The 21,024-nt window shown below is 44.7% G+C and overlaps 1 protein-coding gene and 1 long non-coding RNA gene across 20 annotated transcripts, besides 1 other annotated feature; one reads left to right on the top strand and one right to left on the bottom strand.

Moving 5' to 3' along the window:
• The first annotated feature begins 45 nt into the window (after positions 1 to 45).
• Positions 46 to 5,145, top strand: LOC124903905 (uncharacterized). The gene is made up of 3 exons (XR_007065594.1): positions 46 to 136; positions 4,869 to 5,007; positions 5,102 to 5,145. It is a non-coding gene; the product is annotated as an uncharacterized LOC124903905 (long non-coding RNA).
• XAF1 (XIAP associated factor 1) lies at positions 509 to 20,709 on the bottom strand. 19 transcript variants are annotated; one of them, NM_001353135.1, is made up of 8 exons: positions 20,505 to 20,709; positions 20,046 to 20,114; positions 17,932 to 18,067; positions 16,438 to 16,494; positions 15,555 to 15,750; positions 13,916 to 14,001; positions 5,172 to 5,513; positions 509 to 3,043 (listed from the first exon to the last, which is right to left on the bottom strand). In NM_001353135.1, exons 2-8 carry the CDS (start codon positions 20,075 to 20,077, stop codon positions 2,987 to 2,989), a joined length of 906 nt encoding a protein of 301 aa, NP_001340064.1. In that variant the 5' UTR covers positions 20,078 to 20,114; positions 20,505 to 20,709; the 3' UTR covers positions 509 to 2,986. The 19 variants fall into 19 exon arrangements, 14 of the variants coding, with proteins under 14 accessions (NP_001340064.1, NP_001340063.1, NP_001340067.1 ...); NM_001353134.2 differs by lacking the exon at positions 20,505 to 20,709 and adding an exon at positions 14,115 to 14,270 and having other exon boundaries at positions 20,046 to 20,110; NM_001353138.2 differs by lacking the exon at positions 20,505 to 20,709 and adding an exon at positions 14,119 to 14,270 and having other exon boundaries at positions 20,046 to 20,110.
• Positions 19,934 to 20,453: an enhancer, noted in NCBI's record as "active region_11591". NCBI's record gives its function as "activates an Ori minimal core promoter by ATAC-STARR-seq in GM12878 lymphoblastoid cells {active_cell/tissue: GM12878}" and the evidence as "EXISTENCE:reporter gene assay evidence [ECO:0000049][PMID:35858748]".
• Positions 20,710 to 21,024: the final 315 nt, after the last annotated feature.

The following is a 21,024-nucleotide window of genomic DNA, read 5'->3' as shown; positions in this document are numbered from 1 at the left end:
CTGCAAGGCTCTGTTCCTGCCCCCGGGTCGCAGAGCCCCAAACCTGCAGTTGCCTGGTCAGTGGATCCCATGTGCAGAGGGCGAGACGGGGCCCTGGCCAGGCGTTGGGAGGCGGGAGGCTCGGCCGGCGCTCCGGGTGAGGATGGCACGCCCCCGCCCTTGCTTCTGCGCACAGGGAAGACATTCGGCCCCGAACTTGGGGCTCAAAACGGTTCAGTTCGCTGCCTTTCCCATCCTGACCCAGCCCCGGGTTTTTTCCGAAGCCGCCGCTGGATAGGTTGCATTACTAGGCTTCCCCCAGCCACTCTCCCTGCCCAAAGCCTTCAGAAGCCGCCCCTCTCCCCTTCACCTGGCCCTTATCCACTGTCCCAGCCTCATTTCTTTCCCCCTCCCTGAATGTCTTCTGCTCCCCTTTCCTTGGGCACTGCCCTTATCCTGGGGTCCTGGCTGCTGCCATTCCTGGCCCTGGAAAACCAGTGCGGAACCCAAAGAAAGGTGGAAGAGCAGCTTTTAGAGAGGTGTTTTTATTCTTTGGGGACAAAGCCGGGTTCTGTGGGTGTAGGATTCTCCAGGTTCTCCAGGCTGTAGGGCCCAGAGGCTTAATCAGAATTTTCAGACAAAACTGGAACCTTTCTTTTTTCCCGTTGGTTTATTTGTAGTCCTTGGGCAAACCAATGTCTTTGTTCGAAAGAGGGAAAATAATCCAAACGTTTTTCTTTTAACTTTTTTTTTAGGTTCAGGGGCACATGTGTAGGCTTGCTATATAGGTAAATTGCATGTCACCAGGGTTTGTTGTACAGATTATTTCATCATCCAGATAAAAAGCATAGTACCAGATAGGTAGTTTTTTGATCCTCACCCTCCTTCCATGCTCCGACCTCAGGTAGGCCCCAGTGTCTGCGGTTCCCTTCTTTGTATCCATGTGTACTCAATGTTTAGCTTCTACTTATAAGTGAGAACATGTGGTATTTGGTTTTCTGTTTCTGAGTGAGTTCATTTAGGATAATGGCTTCCAGCTCCATCCACGTTGCTGCACAGGACATGATCCCATTCTTTTTTATGGCTGCATAGTATTCCATGGTGTATATGTGCCACATTTTCTTTTTTTTTTTTTTAAGGCAGAGTCTCGCTTGGTTGCCCAGGCTGGAGTGCAGTGGCAGGATCTCGGCTCACTGCAACCACCACCTTCCAGGTTCAAGCGATTCTCACGCCTAGGCCTCCCAAGTAGCTGGGATGACAGGTGCTCGCCACCACGCCTGGCTAATTTTCGTATTTTTAGCGGAGACGGAGTTTCTCCATGTTGGCCAGGCTGGTCTCAAACTCCTGACCTCAGGTGAACCACCCGCCTCAGCCTCCCAAAGTGCTGGGATTACAGACATGAGCCACCACTCCCTGCCACCACATTTTCTTTATCCTTTCTACCACTGATGGACATTTAGTTTGATTCCCTGACTTTGCGATTGTGTATAGTGCTGCCGTGAACATTTGTGTATATATGTCTTTATGACAGAATGATTTAGATTCCTTTGGGTATATAACCAATAATGGGATTGCTGAGTCAAATGGTAATTCTGTTTAATCATGTCCCATTTGTCAATTTTTGCTTTCGTTACAATTATTTTTGGGATCTTTGTCATGAAATCTTTTTCCGTTCCTATGTCCAGAATGGTATTGCCTAGGTTATCTTCCAGAGTTTTTATAGTTTGGGGTTTTACATTTAAGTCTTTAATCCATCTTGAGTTGATTTTTGCATATGGTGTAAGGAAGTGGTTCAGTTTCAATCCTCTGCATATGGCTAGCTAGTTATCCCAGTACCACTTACTGAATGGGGAATTCTTTCCCCATTGCGTATTTTTGTCAACTTTGTCAAAGATTAGATGGTTGTAGGTGTGTAGCTTTATTTCTGGGCCCTCTATTCTGTTCCATTGATCTATGTGTCTGCTTTTGTACCAGCACCATGCTTTTGTACCAGTATCATGCAGTTTTGGTTACTGTAGCCCTGTAGTATAGTTTGAAGTTGGGTAATGCGATGCCTCCAGCTTTGTTCTTTTTGCTTAGGATTGCTTTGGCTTTTTGGGCTCTTTTTTGGTTTCAAATAAATTTTAATGCTTTTTTTTTCTGATTCTGTGAAGAATGTTATTGGTAGTTTGATAGGAATAGCATTGAATCTATAAATTGCTTTGGGTAGTATGGCCATTTTAACAATATTGATTCTTCCTATCCATAAGTATGGAATGTTTTTCCATTTGTGTCATCTCTGATTTCTTTCAGCAGTGTTTTGTAATTTTTGTTGTAGAGATCTTTCATCTCCCTGGTTAGCTGTATTCCTAGGTATTTTATTCTTTTTGTGGCAATTGTGAATAGGATTGCATTCTTGATTTGGCTCTCAGCTTGGATGTCGTTGGTGTATAAAAATGCTACCATATTTTGTATATTGATTTTGTCTCCTGAAAGTTAGCTGAAGTTGTTTATCAGATCTAGGAGCTTTTGGGCCAAGATCATGGGGTTTTCTAGATATAGAATCATATCGTCTGCAAACAGAGATACTTCGACTTCCTTTCTTTTTGGTTGCCTTTTATTTCTTTCTCTTGCCTGATTGCTGTGGCGAGGACTTCCAGTACTATGTTGAATAGGACTGAAGTGCCTTGTTCTACTTCTCAAGAGTAATGCTCCAGCTTTTGCTCATTCAGTATGATGTTGGCTGTGGTTTTGTCATAGATGGCTCTTATTATTTTGAGGTATGTTCCTTCGACGCCTGGTTTGTTGAGGGTTTTTAACATGAAGTCAAGTTGAATTTTATCAAAAGCCTTTTCTGTATCTATTGAGATGATACGTGAGTTTTGTTTTTAGTTCTGCCAAACCTTTTCTTTTAAAGCCCAACGAATAAAACCCATCACCTTTCACAAGACCACCACAGCAAGTAGGCAGGAATGCCAGTGTTAAAAGTGAAATCTTTTGAATTTGTAGTACCTTTCCTTTTCCAAATCTAGCTGAAATTTCTCACTTGTTTTCCTTTTGATGAAGCTAACCACCGGCATTTCTCCTAAGAAATGGATATAAAAAAAGTTTGATATGGTTAAAGTAAGAAGTGCTAGCTCCTAGAATATCTCTGGATATTGCTGTCCCTTGTTACAGAGCATGAGCCCTGCCCAAAGACTGGAGTGTAATGGCATAGAAAAGGTCAGGAGCCCACTGAGCCAGAAGTATAGGAGGCTTGCGACAAAGTTTAACAGGGGCCTGTTGCTATCACTGGGTGGAGGGACAGATGGGAGAACACTCACACCATGGAATCTTAGGCAGCCATTAATAAAAATAAGCCACACTGTTTTGTTTGTAGGGATTTCCTTGGGTATTGCTGAATTTACATTAGGATGTAAAGAAATGTTGCTGGGCGTGGTGGCTCATGCCCTATAATTCCAGCACTTTGGGAGTCTGAAGCGGGTGGATCACCTGAGGTCAGGATTTCAAGACCAGCATGGACAACATGGTGAAACCCCATCTGTACTAAAATGCAAAAATTAGCTGGGTGTGGTGGCGGGTGCCTGTACTCCCAGCTACTCAGGAGGCTGAGGCAGGAGAATCGCTTGAACCCGGGAGGCAGAGATCGCAGTGAGCCGAGATCCCACCACTGCATTCCAGCCTGGGTGACAGAGCGAGACTCTGTCTCAAAAAAAAAAAAAAAAAAAAAAAGATGGCAGCTTTACTGGTTCAAAAAAAAAAAAGTGAAAAAATGTATATAACAGGACTCCAAATGTGTATGTTTGTATGGTGGTTATATAAGAAATTGCTAAATAAAATACAGGGTGTCCTGGTTAAATTTTAATTTTAGCAAAACAATCATTGCATGGAATATACCTACACTAAAAACAATTCTTTGTTTCTCTGAAATTCAAATTTGACTGAATGTCCTGTATTTTTATTTGCTAAATCTGGCGACTCTGTTATATAAGGATGGAGAAAACTGTGAAAGGAAATATACCAAATTGTGGGAGGCAAGGAAAAATGGCACTAGTAACACCCCCAGCAAATATGAAATGAACCCATTTTTGTAAAATTATATGCTTATGTGCATACATAGATGCACAAGGAAGTTAGAAAAAAAGGTTTTGGCATACTAAGTCTTTTGTAAGAAGCATGCATCATATACTAAGTGAAAAAGGCATGTGGCAGAGTAAAAAGTATAGTAAGATAATATGTGTGGAAAAAGAAACAAGTAAAACCCAGTATATGCTTGTTTAGGCTTGTATATGCAAAGGTAGAGCTTTGAAAAGATGCCCATAAGACTGTCCAAAGTGGTATCTCAGGGTATGGGGTTGGGGAATTAGGGTTAGCTTTGCTTTTATACTTCTTTATATGATATTATATCAACTAGCTCCAACAAAATCTAGTACTTATGTATTTTGAAAAAAAATAAATTTTTTAAGTAAGGCATTTAATCTGGAGCTTAAGAGCATAAACTTTGGAGCTATATACATGTGGACTCAGGCTGGATCCTGCCACCTTCTAATTGTATACTCCTTGGAAAGCTACTTCACCTTATCTGTAAAATGGAGATAAAATGCATGCCTATTGTTTATGATGAAGATTATAAAGAGCTCTGTATTGTAACTGGCACACAATGGTTAACAACCTCTAATGCCAGTTATTATTATTACTAGAAAATAACCTAGGACATAAAAATCATGATATTCAGGGAGATGCCTACAAACCCTGATCTTCTTGAAGCAAACCTTGATCTGCTGGAGGTAAGCCACCACCAACTGGCTTAGGATCTTGACCAAGACATCTCATCTCTGGGCCTCAGTGCCATATCTACACCATGAGAGAGATAGACTGGGTATCCTCTGATTCATTCATTTACTCAACAGTTTTGAAGCAGTTGCTCCAAATCAATCCCTGGCCTAGAAGCTGGAGACACAGAGAAGAGGGACCTGGCTCTACCTTCAAAGACCTGGCTTGAGTCAAAGGTGACTCAGTCTCTCGGAGGTGATGCAAATAAACCAGGTGGTAAGTGCTACGAGATAGTGCATTTGGGCACCCAGAGAAGTGGGAGTCAGAGAAAACGGCCTTTTCAGCCACAACATTTGTGAACATCTTTCAGGTCTTGGATTTTTTTAAGACACTGTGCGGATGGTTCCCAGAAAGGTAAGCAGAGAACAGAGGCTGAGTACCTGATGTTGATTTAGGATCGGCAGGGGAAGCAGGATGCCACACTGAGAACATCTCCTCAGAATGTCATAGGCTGCTTTATCTCCTCTAGGGGAGCTGGTCCTGGGCTTGGGCTCTGACATCAAAAGTGGATCCAAGGTTTTGTTTTTGCTTCTTGGTGCTTTCTTTGATGAACTTTCAGAATGAAGAGGAAATCTGTTTATACTTCTTGTCTTTGGACGAACATCTTTCTCCATCGTGGAAGTTTGATTTTCAGCAGCTTGACTTGGAAGAGATGAAGGAAGAATTTCTGGATTTCCAACAGGAAAGTGTTTCTTAAACTCTGAGTCTGGACAACATTTACCCTGCAATTGTGAATAATATATCAAATTTTAAAATGACTTCAGCTTTAATGGTCAGAAAATACAGTAGACTAGATAACACAAGAAATTCCCACTGTAAACACTTTTATATGGTGTATAAAATGTGACAGACATTCAATTTAATAGCTGGCTTTGCAGGAAAGAAAGAAAATTTTGCATTCCAGGAATGAAGGTCTGACTGGTTGCTATGGTTTGAATGTGTCTCCTCCAAAATTCAGGTGCTGCCAATGTGATGGTATTAAGAGGTGGGGCCTTCGGGGGTGATTAGATCATGAAAGGTCCTCCCTTTTTAATGAGATTAGGGTCCTTATAAAAGAGGATTCATGAAGTATTTGGCTACAGCCTTCTACTCTTTTGCTTTCTACCATGCTAGGAGGCAGCAAGAAGGCCCTCACCAGACACCAAATGGTGGTGCCTTGATCTTGAACTTCCCAGTCTTCAGAACTGTTCGAAATAAATTTGTGTTCTTTATTATTACTCTGTCTGTGGCATCCTGTTATAGCAGCACAAATGGACTGGTTAAGCACAGGAGTTGACACTGCTTATGGGAGATGTAGGGTCAACTTTGTAACTAGGGGCTTGGATGACAGGAAAGTCCCATCCACACAGGTGGGGATTTGGAAGTAAGACTCTATTGATCCTGCATAAAGCTGGAAACTTTAAAGGATAAATTATGGTGGGTAAGAGGAAAAGTATCAGCTAATGAGAAAAGGAAAGTGGCAAGGAAGCTTTTCTTTCTTGGGTCGGTATTTGAGTGTGGAGATGAAAACTTATGCCCCTGAAAACTCAAAATCACAGGTCCATGCCATTCCTGTGTGTGGGATTAGGATTTACTTTGGCCTCATGGTCTGGGAATCCCTGAGCAGAAGAATTAACATAAACATTGAGATGTCTGGCAGAAGCAATCACAAAATTCCTCTGGAGGGACAACAGCCTCAAAATAGGTCATAGAGGATCCTCATAGGTAGAGTCCCACCAGATAGAAACTCACAATCCAAAATTACAAACACACAAGGAAGCAATCCACCTTGAGTAAGAGTCACAGACACAAAAGTAGTCAGATTAGCCTCCAAGAAGTTCAGGTAATGCAACTATAGGATAGAGACTGTAAAATAAATTAATTAAAAATGATTAAATCTGGGAAAAGAATAACATCTCATGAAAAACAGAACAGGTAAATTTGAAATTTTCTAATTTGTAATTAACAAATAATAACTTTATATATTTATGGGGTACAATGTGATATTTTAATATATATATACATTGTGGGATGATTAAATCAAGTTAATTAACATATCAATCACTTCACATACCTATCTTTTTTTTGTAGTGAGAACAAAAATAGGCAAATTTGAAAGAAAGATAAATTGAACTTCTAGACATGAAAAATGCAGGTATTGAACCTAAATGGATGGGCTAAAAACAGAAAATTAGATTTGGCCAAGAAAGAATGAATGAACTTGGAGATAATTTCAGGAAATTACCCAGAATATAAGAGATAGAAATAGAGAAAATATGAAAGGTTAAGAGACATAAGGCGATTAAAAGAGAGAAATGAAAAAAAAGGAGAGTCATGAAAAAAAAGAGAGTCATGAAGCTAGAATGAGAATGCTTAATATACATGTGTTATGTTCCAGAAGGAGAGTTGAGAGAATGTGGGAGAGTTGGGGAATGTTGGGAATTCAAAGAGATAATAGATGAGAATTTTCAGGCCTGATTAGTGACATAAATCTTTATATTAAGGAAAGAGAAATCCTGAGCAGGAGAAAAGCAAACACATTTGAGTACATTGTTCTGAACAGAATGAATAAAAATAAAACTACTCTTAAACACGTTACAGGTAAAAGGCAAAGAGGATCTTGAAATCAACCAAATATAAAGATTACGTACAAAGGAATGGCAATTAGGCTGGAAGAAAATACATCAACAGCAATAACAGAAGTGGGATGGCAGTGGAATAATCTTCAAAATGATAAGAGAAAATAGCTGTTAATCTAGATTTTGATATCCAGCTAAACTATCATTCATGGATGCAAAAAACAAAAAGCTTATTTTCAGGCAACTAAAGATTTACTACTCAAGGTTCTTGGTGAAGAAGCTACTGAGATGTATTTCAGGAAGAGAGAAATCATACCCAGAAGGAAAGCTTAGGATCCAAGGAAGAATGTGAGTAAAGAGAAGGGTAAACTTGTGAGTATATCCAGCCGGGCACAGTAGCTCATGCCTGTAATCCTAGCACTTTGGGAGGCCGAGGTGGGCAGATTATGTGAGGTCAGGAGTTCAAGACCAGCTTGGCCAACATGGAAAAGCCCATCTCTACTAAAAATACAAAAATTAGCCAGACGTGGTGGCACACACCTGTAGTACCAGCTACTTGAGAGGCTGAGGCAGGAGAACTGCTTGAACCCAGGAGGCGAAGGCTGCAGTGAGCCAAGATCGTGCCACTGCACTCAAGCCCAGGCAACAGAGTGAGACTTTTGTCTCAAAAAAAAAAAGAAAGAAAGAAAGAAAAAAAGCAAAAACAAAAACATGTGAGTATATCTAAACAGGCATGAGTTACATAAATAACAACAATAATCAGTAAAGAGGGGTAGTATGAAAGCAAAATGAAACAAAATTCTGGCAGCATTTTCATGTAAGATAGTTACAGTGTTAACATGTTCTCAAATCTATATACTATTTGTAAGGAAAGTAGAGATAATGACTAACTTTAGACTTTATTAAGTCAAGTATTTATATTAAAATGTTAAGGGTAACTATTGAAATGATAGAAATAAATGTAAAATTGACGAATCAGTAGGAAAGAAGAAAGAGAATAAAGAAATCTTGCTCAATCCAATAGAATACAAGGGAGAAGCAAGCAGCAGCAGCAGCAGCAGCAGCAGCAGTAGTAATGAACAAGAGTGGTAAATGCAAGGCCCCAAAACGATGGGGGAAAATTATTGTTAACATCATTGAGAGTGATAAAGGCATTGTGATTAAGAAAATGACTGTATTTTTGAGATATTAAAGAATGATGGTGAAATAACAGGATATCTTGGATTTGCTTTAACATACTTTAGAAAAAAGAAAACAAACAAAGTATAGTTCAAGCCTGGAAAACTTTTGATTTCCACGTGTTAACAGCTATTTTCTCTTAGCACTTTGAAGATTATTCCACTGCATACCCACTTCTATTATTGCTGTCGATATATTTGCTTTCAGCCTAACTGCCATTCCTTTGCTTGTAATCTTCTTCGGCTGATTTCAAAGAAATCAACCTTTGCCTTTTACCTGTAATGTATCTAAGAGTAGATTTATTTTTATTCACCTTGTTTAGAACAACAACTGTTGTATCTGGGGAGTAAATACATGAATGTTTATTGTATTAACTTTCTACTGTCATATTTATTTGAAAGTTTTTGTAATCAATTTTATTTCTTTTATTTTTAGTGGACAAGTAATAATGATACATACTTATAGAATACAGAATGATTTTCTAATACATGTATACAGTGTGTAGTGGCCAAATCAGAATTGTAATAAGATTTTTAATAAACAGATTAAGATGGTCAATAGATTCTATAGCCACCCAAGCTTTCATTTTCAGACATATAAGGCCTAAAAAATTTGCCTCTCATGCTTTCTTTCTCAAGAAACTATTTGGGGATATGTTCTATCAAACAAGGAGTAACCTAAGAAAGAGAAAGATGAGACCTGAGATTTGGGAATCAGAACTCCAACCGTGGAGAGAGTGGAAGAAATTCCAGACCAACAGCTAATCATCAAGCCTGGGGCATAACATGCTCCCAAAATGAAATGGACAGACTATCTGATGTGTGTAGTTGTACTCAGGGGAATTTTCAGATCTGGTAGAGAATTTTAGGGATGATTTAGTGATAGGTACCTAGAAAGTGAAGCAAATGAAAAACCGAAGCAATTATTAAGTCCAGGTAAAACAAAAAGTTGTAGGAGAAAGAACACATAATCACAATTCATGTGGAAAACCATTTATAATGTTTACATGGTTATACTAATGTAATACTGAATATTTATTTAACCAGAATGAGTGAAATCAATACATTGGAAGGATGAAATGAAGAACTTTGGAGGTGTGTGTGTGGGATGGGTGGTATAAAAAAGTGAAATCTATATTCCTAAATCCTTATGAGTCAATAAGTAATATCTAAAACTGGAAAAAATATAAGAAGGTGCTTTAGACATATGAAGGTGATTACCAGAAGAAACAGCTAAAAGCAAAAGTAGAGTATTTGTGTCTGGGGAGTAGTTAGCATGAAGGGGACCAGTGGGGCTTATAGTTTTTCTGAGGTCGTGGGAGACAATTAACAAGGGCCATAATAAGTAAGTAAATTAGATAATATGTTAGAAGTTGGCAAATGCTATGGAAAAAATAATAGAAGAAGGTAAGGGGTTGGTAAATATGTGATGGAGAGGGAGTTGCAATTTTAAATAGGTTGTTGTGGTACATCTCCTTGAGAAGGTGCCATCTGGGCAAAGACTTGAGAGAAGTGAGAGAGTTAGCTCCTGGAGTAGGGTGGGGAAGGTGAGGAGGTAGCTTCCAGCCAGAGGCAGTAGCCAGTGAAAAGGCCCTAAGGCATGGTATGCTCAAGAAACAATCAGGAGGCCAGTGAGCTGAACAGGAGTAGTACATGAGATCAAAGAGGTGATGAGATAAGAAGGGAGGCAAAGATGACATAGATCTCTAAAGCCACTGTAGTTTTGAGTTTGCATAAAATGGGGCAAGAATCAGTACAGAGATCTGAACAGAGGAGCCAAACAATCTGACTTGTATTTTTAAGGGATCACGTTGACCTCTGTGATGAGAATAGACTGTAGGGGGCAAGGTGAGAAGTAGGAAGACCGTTTAGGAGACTGCTGCAGCATCTGGGCTAGAGAAGATGATGGTTCATACCAGGGTAGCAATGCGGAGGGAAAGAGAAGTCGAGAGTGAACCTGAGATTTTGGCCTGAACAACTGGAAAGATAGAGTTGCCATCAACTGAGATGGGCCAAGCTGTGGCAGAGAGGATTCCATTTCAGATGTGTTACATTTAAGATGTCTATCAAGCATTCAAGTGAAGATGCAGTAAATAGTAATATACAAATCTAGAGTTTGGGGAGAAAAACCCAGACTGAGATATAAATTTGGAAGTGTCTGACTACATATGGCTTTTTAAAAAATTTTTAAATTTTTATTTATTTATCTATTTTTTGAGATGGAGTCTCGCTCTGTCGCCCAGGCTGCAGTGTAGTGGCGTGATCTCGGCTCACTGCAAGCTCCGCCTCCTGGGTTCACGCCATTCTCCTGCCTCAGCCTCCCGAGTAGCTGGGACTATAGTCACCCACCACCACACCCGGCTAAGTTTTTGTATTTTTAGTAGAGACGAGAGTTCACTGTGTTAGCCAGGTTGGTCTCGATCTCCTGACCTTGTGATCCTCCCACCTCGGCCTCCCAAAGTGCTGGGATTACAGGCATGAGCCACCATACCCGGCCTTACATATGGCATTTTTAAAAATCAGGAGGTAGGATGAAATAATGAAGGCAGTGAATATAGGTAGAGAAGAGACCAGAGACTAAGCCCTGGGGCCCCCCAAAATTAAGAGGCTGGGGAGGTAGAGAATGAGAGACCACCAATGTCCTTGAAAACCAGGAAAGTGTGGTACCCTGGAAGCCGAGAAAGTCCACTGAGGAAGAGGGAGTGATGAGCAGTAAATGCTTCCCATAAATTGAGAACTGAGAACTGAGCATTGGATTTAGCAATGCAGAGGTCATTGATTTTGACAAGAGCAGATTTGGTTAAAATGGAGAGCCAGACTGGAGTGGGAATAAGAATGAGAGAAGAAAAGATGGAGGCAGTTACTTATAGACAACTAGCTCAAATGTTTTTCTACGGAGGGGAACAAAGAAACAAGATGGTAGCTTATAGGAAATGGGATCAGAAGTATTTCATGTTTTTCTGGCTTTGGGTCATATTAATAAAAAGTTAAAGACTGAAAACCACAAAACCACCTAGTATACATGATTTCAATCCTTAATTTTCAAAATTAAAAAAAAATTCTTTTCGTGCAAGGCCATTGATATATAAATATTCAATAGTGGTACCCCTTTAAAAAGTTATTGTAAGAAATGTTAGGACAACCTAGAGATGTGAGACTTTGTTGTTACCTGCGTGTACAGCTCATTTAACCTCTCTCTGTTGCAGGACAGAGAGGGGAGAATTGCTGGAGCAGTGTAGCAAAAAACTTGTGTGACCTTGTGTAGGCAAAAAGAGAGGGTATATTATACCAGTAGGAGGGGATAGGCTTTAGAGAGGCACATAGGAAGCTCCTCTATGGTTAAGAGGTGGGAAGGCAAAGTAAGTGAGTGTGGATGCTGCCAAGGAGATAGATCTGGTGTTGGCTGGTTGTGGATGTCTTCTTTTCCTGAACAAGGAGATAAACCATTATCCCCATTTTCCTCAAAAGAAGAAAGAAGCTCAGAGAGGTTACACAGCCAGTAAGGGGCACAGCAGAACTAAAATTCAGAGTTTCTGAGCACAAATCCAGTTCCATGTGTATTGGAGCTCCCCACTTCCCTGTAGCCTTCAAATAAGTGTGTAGGTGCCCTGGTTGCCAGGCTGGACATTTGAAGGGAAGTAGTCAGCTTTACTCTTGTTTTGGTGCTCACCAAGTATTTTCTCATTCAAACAGAACACATGGACCACTTATAGGATCGAATAAACATCAGTACTAAGGAAAACAAGTCAGTAGGTGATTTCCACGTACAGCCAAGGCTGAGAATCCCGTGGCTGGGGCAGCGCATCTCAGACTTGAAATGCCTGGGAAATCATGTGACCCTGCATATTCTGATTTAGCATTTCTAGGGGGAGGGCCTGAGATTCTGCATTTCTAACAGGATTCCAGGTGATGCTCATGCAGCTGGTCCACAGACTGCACTTCAAAAAGCAAAGAGCTGAAAGGTGGAAACAATCCGAATGTTTACCAACAAGTAGAGAAACAAAATGTGGGATGACCGTAAAAAGGCCATTAACTTTGGGAGGCCGAGGAAGGCGGATAACCTGCGGTCAGGAGTTTGAGACTGGCCTGGCCAACATGGTAAAACCCCGTCTCTACTAAAAAAAAATACAAAAATTAGCCGGGCGTGGTGGCAGGCACCTGTAGCCCCAGCTACTCCGGAGGCTGAGGCAGGAGAATCGCTTGAACCCGGGAGGCAGAGGTTGCAGTGAGCCGAGATCACGCCACTGCACTCCAGCCTGGGCAACAGAGTGAGACCCTGTCTCAAAAAAATAAAAGAAAAGAAAAGGCCATTAAAAGGAATGAAATGCTGACACATGCCACAACTACAACACGGGCAAACCTTGAAAATGTTACGGTAAGTGAAAGAAGATGGTTACATAAGACCACATATTATATGAGTCTACTGATGTGAAGTGTCCAGAATAGACAAATCCATAGAGATAGAAAGCAGATTAGTGGTTGCCAGGAACTGGGAAGATGAGGGAATGTACAGTACCTGCTAATGGGTATAGGATTTCTTTTTGGAATGATGAAAATATTCTAGAACCAGATTGCACAACATTGTGAATGTACCAAATGTCTCTATAGTGATGGCAAATTTTACATTATACGTGGTTTACCACAATAGTAAAAAGAAAAAGAAAAGAGCGAAAAGCTGGATCGTCTCTATGGTTTCTTTAGTTTTGATATTCTGTAGTTTTAAGCACTGAAGTGTTAAGAAAGGTAAACAACTTTCTGCCCAAGGAGAAGGAGAAGAGTTCTTTGGAGAGAAGCCTTGGTAAGTTTCCCAAAGGGGAAATGCTCCATTCTGTGCAAAAGAAGGGAGCAACTTGGCACAGCAATGCACTAAACGGCGCTTAGGGGCTATGGAGGGAAGAACCTGTGAGTGTTCCCAGGCAAAATCAGTCAGTCAGTCAATCACGTAACTGCGCCTCTACAGAGTCCTCTTTTTGCACCAAGCTCTGATGTCAGGAAAATGGAAAAAGTCATGCAGTTTTGCAGGAAGCTCACAGTCTAATAGAGAAGACTCCCACATGGGACCGAAAACAGTAAGACAGGCCCTACTGAGGACCAAATTGCAATGTCCAGGCCATGAAGTTTGGAGATGGTCAGAGGTGATCGGGGGTGTTGGGAGTGGCAAGGGAAGCCCCTTTGAAGGGCTGGGCACAAATGAAGACCAATTTTTGTGTGCTTGATTAGCCTAAGCAAGTCACTAAACTATCTTTTGGAACAAAGCAAAAAATAAATATGGGACCCTTTAATATCCATGCTATGTAAAATTGGGCCCAGAATCTGCCTTTCCTATCACACTTTTCAGAATGTGGATGAACTATTGGCACCATTAGAAAATTACTAAGTGCTACTCACCATATGGTGGAAATACTTATTTTCTGGAATCATTTGGTTGCAATAATGACAGTAGATTTCCCTTTCAGGAGCTGAAATTCTTTCCCCTGAATAAGCAGAGAAACAACACCACAAATGATTGTCCTTGTCAACGGCTAGCCCAGCTCTCCCACAACTGCATACATGGCCTGTGCTCATGAGCACGAACTGCCCCCCGGACCTGCCTGGTCTTGACTTTCCTGCGCTGCCGGCATCCTTGACCACACAGGCAACTCTTGGCCGAATCACCCACATCATTTCCTTTATGGCCACAGATGTGCACTCAGGGCAGCAGCAACCGTAATGGAGAGACATTTTCCTGGATCAGGACTGGTTTCTAAGGAGATGAATGGAGCTGTAGCCACGGATGCCAACCCCCTCCATTCTGACTGTGCTCTTTCATTGCACCAGTTTTCAGACTCTGTGATCAGACCAGGTGTTGGTTGAACACATTTTTGTTGACAGTGTTGAAGCTGTGTTGTGTTGTGTTGTGTTGTGTTGCACTGAAGTTGTGTTGAAGACTGTGTTTGATTCTGTTGACGTCCAGCCATGCTGGGATGAAGGAAATATACATGACTCTCACAATTTCCAGGTTTCCATTGGCCAGTTTTGCCCTTGGGTGGATTGTTTATCAGGAGAAGGTTACTGTCTGGGGAGTTTTAGGCTCTCTCCCATGTTACCATGTTACCAAAACAACTAGCAAAGACACCAAAGGATCTGTCACACTGATGGTTGTGTGACAGTAAATACACCCTCATAAAGAGGTGAGTGATTCAAGTGAACATAAAATGGTACCAGGGAGCCAATACATAGGCCCCCAGGCCAGGAGCCATTGCTAACTCCCTTCTGGCCATTGTTGATAATGGAAAAAGCCCTAGATTCAGTGCCAGGAAGTGCGGGAGTCCAGTCTTATTTTTGCCTCTAGCAAGTCCCTGCTTTATTCTGTGTGTAGGTTTCTCATCTGTAAAAGGATGCAATGGATCTCTGCCAGGCTAGGACTGTGCTAGAGGTGCTCAAAGAAAGCCTCCTGTTTCCTAGGACTCCCCATGGTCCCCCCCTTTTTTTTTTGAGACAGAGTTTTGCTCTTGTTGCCCAGGCTGGAGTGCAATGGCACGATCTCGACTCACTGCAACCTCCGCCTACCGGGTTCAAGTGATTCTCCTGCCTCAGTCTCCCAAGTAGCTGGGACTACAGGCGTCCGCCACCACGCCCGGCTAATTTTGTATTTTTAGTAGAGACGGGGTTTCTCCATGTTGGTCAAGGTGGTCTCGAACTCCCAACCTCAGGTGATCTGCCCGCCTCAGCCTCCCAAAGTGCTGGGATTACAGGCATTAGCCACCCCGCCCAGCCTTCTCCATGGCCTCTTTACTCAACTTTGTGGTAGCTAGGCTCTAGCCCCGGCCTCCTAGTCTCCCTGGACCAGTCATTTGAAGGCCACAGCAGACACACAGGAAGGCCACTCTGAGGCATGGTTTAGAATTAGAATAGCCAGATGAATTGAGATCTATACAGCAAATACACTTGTCATCCGTCCTGTTGAGAGCTTCCCTTCCTTGCATCCCATCCAGGAAAGGCTCTGGCCCTTGGAACGTCTCTCTTCCACCCCAGTTTGTGTGCTTACCTTTCCCGAGCTGGGCCTGTTCACTGCGACAGACATCTCTGTGCTGGGCGAGCATGCGGTGCATGATGAACTGGCCACAGCCTTGGCAGAGCTCTGTCCGGCTGCCACAGTAGGACTCGTGGAGCTCCAGCTTGCTGAGCTGCATGTCCAGTTTGCAGAACTTACACTCAACAGGGCGCTCCTGGCACTCATTGGCCTGTGGGAGGCAGCAGGAAGGGCATGATCACTGGCCCTTTTTTTTTTTTTTTTTTTTTGAGACAGAGTCTCATTGTGTTGCCCAGGCTGGAGTGCAGTGGCTTGATCTTGGCTCACTGCAACCTCCGCCTCCCGGGTTCAAGCAATTCTCCTGCCTCAGCCTCCCAAGTGGCTGGGACCACAGGCGTGTGCCACCACGCCCAGCTAATTTTTGTACTTTTAGTAGAGACGGGGTTTCACCATGTTGGTCAGGCTGGTCTCGAACTCCTGACCTCGTGATCCACCCGCCTTGGCCTCCCAAAGTGCTGGGATTACAGGCGTGTGCCACTGCGCCTGGCCGATCACTGGCCTCTTTGACTGTAGGCAGATCAAGGACTTGTGCCCATCTCCCTAGGGAATTAGGGCCAATACGAGAAAGCAGATGAGAAGGGCCAGAGTGCGGGACTGCCTTCGGGGGATCTGAGCTCTGATGGACTCATGGACCATGGAAAACCCTTCTGATCAGTATCTGGGGGACAGGAGAACCTGTGTTATGCGGTGGGCTAGTTCTCCACTGCTCTCCAAGCCTAATGGGGTGAAAAGAGTGGTCAGGTGGAAATCTCTATTACTGGCCTCCCGTTTCCCCTTCCTCTCCTTTTCTCAGGTTGGTCTATTTGGCTGTAAAGGAGAAATCACATGGGGCTCTTACCTTATGAAACTCCAGCGAGGACTTCTGCATGCTCTGCTGACACATCGTACACCCAACCTAAACACACACACACACACACACACACACACCAGATGTGGGTCCACCCAGCACCCAGGGCCTGCCCCACATCCACTTTGGCTCACAGTGTTCCGGGTTTGGGTCTGTGAACTCCCAGAGGGCAGGGATCCGATGTGGCTACCTCAGTGTCTCTCTAGCACCCCGCCCAGTGTTCAAGAAGTGTTTGTCAGACCAGTCTGAGTTGGCAACGGCTGCCTGAGCTTGAGTATCTCCAGAGAGACAGATCAGGGGCCCCAGGAGGAATGGACATGGAAAGGCGGGAAACAGGGCTCCATCTGACTGCCTTCCAGGACCTTCCTTTTTCACATCCTCTCTTTACAGATCTCAAGAGAACAGCCAGTCTTTCCTGAAACCAGAACCTCTTGCCTATGCCAGATCCATAAGCCTGTAGGGAAAGGATTGGAAATAGGAAAACTGGAGGTAGACTCAGATTAGCATGAAAAAGGCAGGATTAACATTTCCTTTCCATGGGCTTTGTGTGGAGGGGCTAAATGACTTCCCATGGCCCTCAAGTGAGTCTCTGCCTGGGGGACTGGACCCTTGCCTTAAGTCCCCAGCCCTCACCCCAACTCCCGGACCCCATCTCTCCTGCAGGGAGGACTGGAGCCATTCCCTGACTCCCAGACCCCTTCTTTCTTGCAGGGAGGATGGAACACTTGCCCCTCCCAGACCCCATCTCACCTGCAGGGAGGACTGGACCCTCGTCCCCCAACTCTCAGACCCCATCTCTCCTGCAGGGAGGACTGGACCCACTCTGTGACTCCCAGATCCCATCTCTCCTGCAGGGAAGATGGAACACTTGCCCCTCCCAGACCCCATCTCACCTGCAGGGAGGACTGAACACTCTCCTTGACTCCCAGACCCCATCTCACCTGCAGGGAGGACTAGACCCTCGTCCCCCAACTCTCAGACCCCATCTCTCCTGCAGGGAGGACTGGACCCACTCTGTGACTCCCAGACCCCATCTCTCCTGCAGGGAAGATGGAACACTTGCCCCTCCCAGACCCCATCTCACCTGCAGGGAGGACTGAACACTCGCCTTGACTCCCAGACCCCATCTCACCTGCAGAGAGGACTGAACACTCGCCTTGACTCTCAGACCCCATCTGTCCTGCAGAGAGGACTGAACACTCGCCTTGACTCCCAGACCCCATCTCACCTGCAGAGAGGACTGAACACTTGCCTTGACTCTCAGACCCCATCTCACCTGCAGAGAGGACTGAACACTCGCCTTGACTCTCAGACCCCATCTCTCCTGCAGAGAGGACTGAACACTTGCCTTGACTCCCAGACCCCATCTCACCTGCAGGGAGGACTAGACCCTCGTCCCCCAACTCTCAGACCCCATCTCACCTGCAGGGAGGACTGAACACTCACCTTGACTCTCAGACCCCATCCTCCCTGCCGCCTCCTCACCTGCTGGTGCTCAAGCTTGCAGTGCTCCTCCATGGTTTCCTTGGGGACAGGCTCCTCACACTCCGGACACAGGACCAGGAACCGCAGGCAGTAAGCCTCATGGAGGGTGAAGTTGGCAGAGACTACATGTCTTTTACTACAGGGTCAAGGTGTGGGGATAGAAAAATAGACTTATTTTCATATTATAAAACATGGAGCTGTATTTCATACCCAGGGCTAGATCTCCAGAGGCCTTAAGCACTGAACATGTGATGATGATGACACCACCTGCCCCACACTCCCTGTGTGGGTCCAAAAGTCAGAACAGTGAGGCAGCATCTAATAAGAATAAGGATGATCTACAGAGCTCTTACATTGCTGGGGCAGGGCATGGGAAGGAGCAGGAGGGAGGAATTACAAAGGGGCATGGGGAGCTTTTGGGGTGACAGGAAGCTTCATTATCTCAATTACGGGGATGGTGTTTCATGGATGTATATAACTTAGGCCAAAACTTATCAATTGCTACCCTTTAAAATGTGAGGTTTATTGTAGGTCAATTATACCTCTATAAGGCTGTTTTTAAAATGAAACATTTCATTTTAAATAATGTAAATAATTAAATTATTTCAATTTAAATAATTTGAGAGAAGTGCCAAATTCTCTTGAATCTTTTTTCTTGTTTTCTGGTGCCCCTGTTTGGTCCACAGTGTTAGGAACGCAGCCCTGCTAGGCTCACGCTTCCTGCCAGGGCCATGCCAACTTCCAAAATCTCCAAAGCGAGAGCTTCCCAAGTCTCCCCTGCCTTCAGGTTCACCTGCGCTAACTCACAGAGACTCCGAGGTTCTTCCTGGAGACCACAGTGAAGGAAGGGTTCTGAGCCTCCCACTTCCTGGGCAGGGCATTTTTCTCTAACCGTCCTTTTTGCCAAGAAGTGCCCCCTTTTGGCTGGGTGTGGTGGCTCATGCCTGTAATCCCAGCACTTTGGGAGGCCGAGGCGGGTGGATCACCTGAGGTCAGGAGTTAGAGATCAGCCTGGCCAACATGGTGAAACCTCATCTCTACTAAAACAATACAAAATTAGCCGGGCATGGCGGTGCACGCCTGTAATCCCAACTACTCGGGAGGCTGAGGCAGGAGAATCACTTGAACCCGAGAGATGAAGGTTGCAGTGAGCTGAAATCGCGCCATTGCACTCCAGGCACTCCAGCCTGGGCAAAAAGAAGCGAAACTCCATCTTAAAAAAAAAAAAAAAAGAAGAAGAAAGAAAGAAATGACTCCTTTCATTTCCATCAGCTCTTGCTTGTGGCAGCTTGGGAGAAGGGAAATGGGGTGGCTGTAGCCGTAAAGGCCCAGGGGACGAGAAGAGTTACATGCCCATGTTCCTGGCACAGGGGACGTGCTCCGAGAGGGACTGTCAAAGCCTCACTCCTCTTCTGCCCAGGCAGCGGGCACACAGGCAGCATCATCTTCCCTTCCTCTGCTCTCTCTCCTCTGCCTGACCTGGCCCCTTCTCCCCCTGCTCTTCCTGGGCTGGTTGAGAAACCAGAGTACTTGAAGGGTCTGGCTGGAGCAAAGCTCTCTGGGGAGGGTCCACTCAGGTCCCTGTCACAGGTAGGGAGCTTTGAGAATGGGGCTTTTTGATCGGTCAGATTCCGCGCCCCCCCTCCCGTTAGAGGTGTGGTCCCAGCCCCCTGCTCTGTCCCCCCTGCCCCGCCCCACGGCTCCCTTTCCAAGGAGGGTGAGAGTAGTCCTGGAGAATCTCCGTGGGACACTTTCTTTCACAGATGGGTGTGAAGGTCATAGTATCAGAACCCCAAATTAGGACCCAAGGTCTCACAAGTATGAGTAGCCCAGTTGGGACCACTGGCCGGGCTATTTGGCTTCAGAACTGTCCCAGAAAGCCTAACATTTGGGGGAAAGGGGCTGCAGTGAAGTGGAGGTAATGCTGCCCACCCCCACCCAGAGATTACCAAGTTTAAACCCTCCTACCCTTGGGGCCCACGGTCTCCAGCTGCTTGTCCTCCTAAGTGTTCTTATGCAGGAACCACTTTCTGCTCCCTTCAGAAACAGCCCTATGTCGTCTACGTCTCTCCCTCGCCAGCCCGGGTCTGCCGCTGGAGAAAGCACTTTCTTACCAGTTCCTGCACACCGAGAAGTCTCCTTCCATGTTCTGCTCTCTGCAGGCTTTCGGTTGAGTTTCGTTTCTTGCAGGCAAGGAAACAAAACTGAAAGTTTTCCGATGGCCCAGCCCACAGCTTCAGGGAGGGAGGAGATCTTCAGAATTCTCGGCTCAGGAGTTCCCCTTGATTCCTGAGGCTGGACCCTCCCAAGAAGCCCCTTTACAGCATGGCCAGCCCCTGCTGTCGCCCTTGGCCGTCATTCTTTGCTGCTGTCACAGCCGCATCTACCTCCCTGAGGCTGGCAGCCTGAGGCCAGGCCTCTCCTGGGCAGCACAGCAGCTTGTTCCCTCACCCTGGCTGGCTGGCTTCTCTCCGTCTGGGTCTCCATCCCTTTTCCAAACCATCCACCTCCCACCCTTCTCCCCCATCTCCGGCTCCCTTCTGGTCCTCCCCTGCAGGAAAGAGGGAACTTGCCATGTTGAGCTTGAATGCTGTTCCCTAAAAATGGCTCCTGGACTTCCAGGCGGTGAGGACCTTGCAAACAGCGTCCAGGGAGGCTCTGGGGATGCAGGGTGGTGTGAGCCCAGACCCAATCTGGTGTGTATCCTCCTGGGGGTCCTTAGAGTTTTTCCAGACCCTAGAAACAGCTGTGCTAACAGAAGAACTCTAAACAACATCTGGAGTGATGACAAGCAGGCCCAGAGAATTCCCGTGGCGTCTGCCAATGGGGTGGGTGCCGCCTCTCTGAGGAGGATAACAAGATTAAGGGAAATGTCCAGGCAGGGCTCCAGCCTCCAGGCAGGCTCTAAAATTCAGGCACTAAATGAGAAGCAGTGTGTGGTGGTACTGATGATCACAGTGATAGGAGGGAAGAATGAAAGACTGTTTCAACATTGTTCCTATGTTCCAGGCACCATTCTAAGCATTAGGTAGGCATTGTCTTCGTTTTAATCCCTCATGTAAGCATTATTAACTCCATTTTGCTATGGAAAAC

Source organism: Homo sapiens, chromosome 17, assembly GCF_000001405.40.
Source record: "Homo sapiens chromosome 17, GRCh38.p14 Primary Assembly".
Lineage (NCBI taxonomy): Eukaryota > Metazoa > Chordata > Mammalia > Primates > Hominidae > Homo > Homo sapiens.
The sequence above is the reverse complement of the archived record's forward strand: the minus strand, read 5'-3'. Positions and strand labels throughout refer to the sequence as shown.